This window comes from Homo sapiens, chromosome X, assembly GCF_000001405.40.
Source record: "Homo sapiens chromosome X, GRCh38.p14 Primary Assembly".
NCBI classification, from domain to species: domain Eukaryota; kingdom Metazoa; phylum Chordata; class Mammalia; order Primates; family Hominidae; genus Homo; species Homo sapiens.
Window position 1 is genome coordinate 55654284 of NC_000023.11, and position 5400 is coordinate 55659683.

The 5400-nt window shown below is 43.4% G+C and overlaps 1 pseudogene across 1 annotated transcript; it reads right to left on the minus strand.

Moving 5' to 3' along the window:
• Window positions 1–408: 408 nt before the first annotated feature.
• XAGE-4 (protein) lies at window positions 409–2733 on the minus strand (annotated as a pseudogene). Its single transcript, XR_001755743.2, has 3 exons — window positions 2651–2733; window positions 2055–2158; window positions 409–551 (listed from the first exon to the last, which is right to left on the minus strand). The product of XR_001755743.2 is annotated as an XAGE-4 protein (transcript).
• Between the last annotated feature and the right edge of the window lie 2667 nt (window positions 2734–5400).

The following is a 5400-nucleotide window of genomic DNA, read 5'->3' on the forward strand; positions in this document are numbered from 1 at the left end:
CAGCAAAAGATGGGTGTAGAATTTATGGAATTCATCCAGAATCTCACGAATAATGTCAGAGCTGGTACTAGAATCTGCTTAGGGTGCTCAGGATATTTCACACAAACTGGTATTAGAAATGCATTATGTATTTGTTAAAAGCAGAAATGAGAAAATAATCTGAAAATTGTTAGTTGTTGGGTATAATCAGAAGTAAGAATATGCTCTCATATTTATGATTCAATATGGCTTTGACCCAATTTGTGTCTGTATCTGACAGTGTTTAAGTCTTGCGGTCAGGCAACTGGAGTCTGAACAACCTTTCAAAGAAAGTCTGCATTTGAACTCTGATTTTAAAGGGGTAGTAATGTTCTCTCTTACTATCAAAAGTATAATATTGTGGAAAACAGAAAGCATATAATTTTGCATCTAAATGGATAGCATACCTCCTTCTGGCATTTTAAATTGCTCTGATTTTGGCAGAATCTTCCCCTTGTCATCGGGACCATCTCTGCATTCATCCCCAGTCTTTGACTGAGACAGCTCCTGGAGATCAGTTTCCAGGTCAGGTACTTAAAAATACAAAGGTTATCGACTGAAGCAGGCAAACAAGAAAGATAAATAAGGAAATGATAATATTCTTTTCCTCAGCGTTATGAAATAAAAGGCTGTAGGCTACTGTGGTAATAAATGTGATGCAAAGATGTCCCACCTTTGTTTTCCTGTATTATAAAATCTTATCTTAAATGACAATCTGAGGAAAAATCAGACCACACTTACATTTCCTATACTTTACCATTGTGTATTATAAACAGTGAGTATCAGCTGTCTAGGAAATCTAAAGACTGCTCAATGGATAGCATTTTAATCATAACTTAAATGTAATTTTCTGAAAGATTAGATGAGTGTATTGGTAAGCCTATGACAAATCTTACAGTCCTGACACTCATCACCTGTTGAGGTAACTTGAAAACTTTTTGGTTAAAATTAAACAAACTTAGGTCCAAAGGCCCTATATGTAACTTTCCATAAATGAATCTCATTCAGAAAAAAATACCAAATACAACAGCAAAATCACTGTCTTCCATGAGAGTACAGGAACTTGAGTGAAAAAAAATTAATGGGTATTGTTGACAGTCATATTCTGGAAACCCCTTAACAGTGAATTGCTAAAATAATCCATGACCCAAATTCTGTCAATGTTTAACTTCAAAATGCTATCTGTTGAGGAAATAATTTCTGTTTCATGATAATCTTATCATACTTTGAGTTTTCTAATTATAAAAGTATTTAAACCGTTAAAAAGTCCCTTAAAATCATACTAATATAGCTACCTGTATGCCAATGTCCTAAATTATCCAACTTTTACCAAACATACTGTCAAAAATACAGAGCAAAGGAAACAGTGGCTGTCATTCATTGAGCTCTTTTCTGGAGTTACTATCCTGCTTCACTGAAGTACCTTACAGTAGAGACACATTCGAGTATGAACATTTTAAGCAAAATAATTCACATTTTCTAACACAGTTGGTAGGAAGAACACAAACCTTGGAATGAAATATGAATTCCTTCTCCATGAGTCAAGTGTTCTTGGTAAGCCTCCATTTCAGAGCCTCAGTTTTCTTACTTATAAAATGGGGCTAATATCCCTATGCAAATGGGCTTTATTCAGGATGTTATAAGGTAGGGTGACTTGGCTTTCTACATGCTATTAAAGGGTGCATACAATACTGTGGACACCACAGCTGAGAAGATCAGACAACATTCTAAGAAGATAAAACTAGTGAAATTTTGTACACCACATTAAAGAGTTTCATCTGATTTAGCAAGGACTGTATTTTCAAGCATGCAAAATAAACGTCGAAGAAAAAGAGAAGATTCATCGTATCCAGGGACGGCATGAAGCTGCAAACTATACTCTTCACTTTTCCAGCCAACTTTGAGCAAGTGTTTGAGATCCTTTCCTAATGTTTTCTTTCCTCCTGTTACTGTTTATGGCATAATGCATGATGCACATATAGGCCTCTCCTGCCCACCCCCCAACCATAGATATTCTTTCTTTCTCTTCCCAGCACCTTGAATCTCAGCTGCACCCCTGATCTTCTCTCTCCTCACCAGGTGTAGGATCCCGACTTTCAGTTGGTGGTTCCTCTTGCTGAGGTTCCTCATCACTGGGCTCCTGGAACCAGGGGTGTGTGTGTGCAGATAATTTGTTATCAATACATTTCAATAATATAAATATACAGAATACATAGATATTTCTGATCATAAGTCTAAAGACATTTCTCCAGCACTCTTCCACATACTTATACTTCATAAAGTTACTCTTCCCACAGAGAGGTTACTCTAAGACAGTTGCCCTCAAGGGCTCTGGAAGCTGTTTTAATCTATGTTGGGATGAATGTGTGTAATCTTTTGCAAATAAGCATGAGAAGGAAATCGTGGGCAAAATCTGGGGAACACAAGATCATCCATCCAGACAACAGAAGAACTTAATCCTCTTGGATTAGTCTTTCCTTCATGAGATGCCATGATCATTTTTATCAGCATGGAAGACCTTTATTGGTGAATCCATACTGGTTCAACAACAATTACAAAACATAGTTTTGTAACAACAAGTTACAAAAATAACTTTCTGCTAATAGAAAACATCAAAGGTTAAGACACTCACCAGCATAGGCCCAATCAGCTCAGGAGGTGGTACGCTTCTCCTTGGTCTAGGCCTATATGTTGATCTTACTCTCCAAATCATATTTCACACTGCAAACAGAATACTGTGAATTGGTAAATGCACTTGAAAGGACAGCTGTATTTGACCACTTCCATGACCAAATGTTAACTTGTCATTTTTTAAAAGTTTGTAAATACTTTCGAACTAAGTCTCAGGGTAAGTGTAAGTATGTGTGCCTTCCAAATGCTCGCAAAGTCACTTAAGTTGGTCAAGCTAGCTGAGCAATGTCTCATAGCTCCTGGCAAAAGACATAGGATATTTCCGATGAGGTTTGGTTTCACAACTGAACTCTCCTCCGTGGAGGCATTTAGGAAAATACAGCCAGAGAATTAAAACTGCAGTGACCACGACTTTTGTCACCCACCCATTTGCTAGGCCCGTTTCCCCCCTAAAATCAAGTTTTGTTGGAACGCAGAGCCCCACCCATTCAAATCTCCACAGTGGAGTTGAGAAGTTGCCACACAGCACTGGGCCCTCCTCACTGTACACCTCTGCCAGGCGTTCTACAGACCTCAGGGCCATGGTCACCAACCCGCAGTGTTCCCAGTTCCCTTCCTTAATGCCCACCCCGCTCCTTCCTGGGTCGCCACGGAGGAGTCTGGAATCTGTCCTCTGTCGAGGGTTTCAGGGACTCAGATACCTGCCCCAGCACCCCCAGCACTCACCCCATCTTCATCTGACCCCTCTCAACTACTCGGTCCACCTTCTTCCCTCGTTCTGACCCTACCACAACAAGGCCCACAGCGGTGCCACCTCACGAGAAGAAGGACGAGCACTTTGAGACCCTTCGGCCTCTGAGGCCACGTACCACCCTGCCCCACACTCAGGACGGCCGCTGGCTCCTCCTCACACTCACTCACACTTCAAGCCCTGGGAGGACTGGCCTGTGGACCTACCGGCTGCGTCTCAGCAGGACAGAAAAAGTCCCGACAGCAGGAACGCGATCCTCAAGCCTTCACAGCTCCCTGGCGTTCACCACATGGGCAAAGGGGCCGAGGGGAAGACGCCCAGTGGACATGCGCAGTGAGGTCGGTGCCTGCCTGGTGGGCTGTGGCACCCCTCCTCGCCCCACCCCATCCCGCACCGCGCAGTCCTCTGCCTTCTCCCAGGTTTCCGCTGAAGAGTATGGAATGTGTCTTCTGTGGGCGGTTTCATATGCCTCCGGGACTCAAATACCACAAATAGTTTCCCCCTTCAAAACTCACTCCATGTTCACTAGGTCCTCCTCCCCTCTATGGCCCTCCTTCCTCCCCTGTCTGGGACCCCCACGACAGCAAGGCCAAGGCTGTGTCACCACCTGTTAGGAGAAGGACAGGAACCTCAAGGACCTCCCCGTCGGAGGCCATAGACCGCGCCGCGGGCTCCTCCTCACAGTCTCTCCCACTTCAACTCTGGGAAGACTGATCTTCGGACTTACTGGCTGACTCCTAGTCAGCAGCACAGAAGGAAGTCATGATGTCTCCTTGCACAGCTCTGCAGGGACAGAAGGCAGACAGCAAGGCACATGGACAAGGGACTTGGGCAGCAAGGGATGTGCACACTGAGTCAGGCACATGCAAGGCCACCCGGGGTTTTCCCTCTCTCCCCAGGCTCGCATCCCTAAGGTGTTTGTAGTAGAAGGAAAGGGACTAAGAGGCTTTGTTCTCTCTCTTGCCCTACCATTCTCATGCATCCAGAAACACTGGGAACAGACAGTCCCATGTCACCATTAGTGGAGGATGTGGCTCAGAAAGACCTTTTGTGACAGAAATAAATTACTTTAATATCTCTATTTATACATTCTTTTTTCTCATTTATATATGCATGGGTGCCTGCCATGTTGCAGGAAATATCTGGGATGCTGGAAATGTGAAGACCAAGGAACCACACGTGGTATGTTCCATGGAGGCTACCACACTGTGGTGGGGAAGACAGACAGTTAAACTGAAGAGCAGTTGAACTGCAAAGGAGAAACATGGGGAACAGACCCAGGGGAGTAAAGAACAATGAATGTAGTGGCCAAGAAGCAGGGCGAAACAACACAATTTCTCAAGAAGATAATATTTCTCCATTGCCTTTGCACCTTTTTTGAAAATGAGTTTATCATGTCTGTGAACCTATTGCTGGACTCCATTCTGATCTGTTGATTTTTCCCCAGTACCACATTCTCTGGATTACTATAGAATTAGCATGACTCTTGATATTAGGTAGTGTGAGTTCCCCAAAGTTATAGTTCAGAATCGTTTTGGCTGTTCTGGTTCCTTTTCCTTTCTATGTAATTTTGAAAAATGACTCCAATGAAGTGGGTTGTATAAATTCATGCAGTTTCCCTTTGAAGGGCAGCAGATAAATGTGTTAGTGGCTACAGGAGGACATGGGGGAAGAAGGTGAGTTCCCCCTTAGCTTGGGGAATTATCCCATTTAGAGGGAGCAGTTGGTGGTTCAGGAGAGAGGAATGATCATTGTAGGAACAAAGCCCCTGAGAAGGTGAGAGGCATGGGATCCTGAGCTGAGGTGAGGGGCTGGCATCAGTTAGGAGCATTTGTATGCAGAAAGGCGGTGGAGAATGCCAGGGCAAGCATGGGCAAACTGGGTTTGGGAAGCTCTAAGAGTTCCCAGCAGATCGCTTCTCTCCTCTGAATGAATCATTATAGGAGGTCATTCAAATGAAGGAGAGTTTGTAGCATTGTGTGGGTGTTTATATAACTATA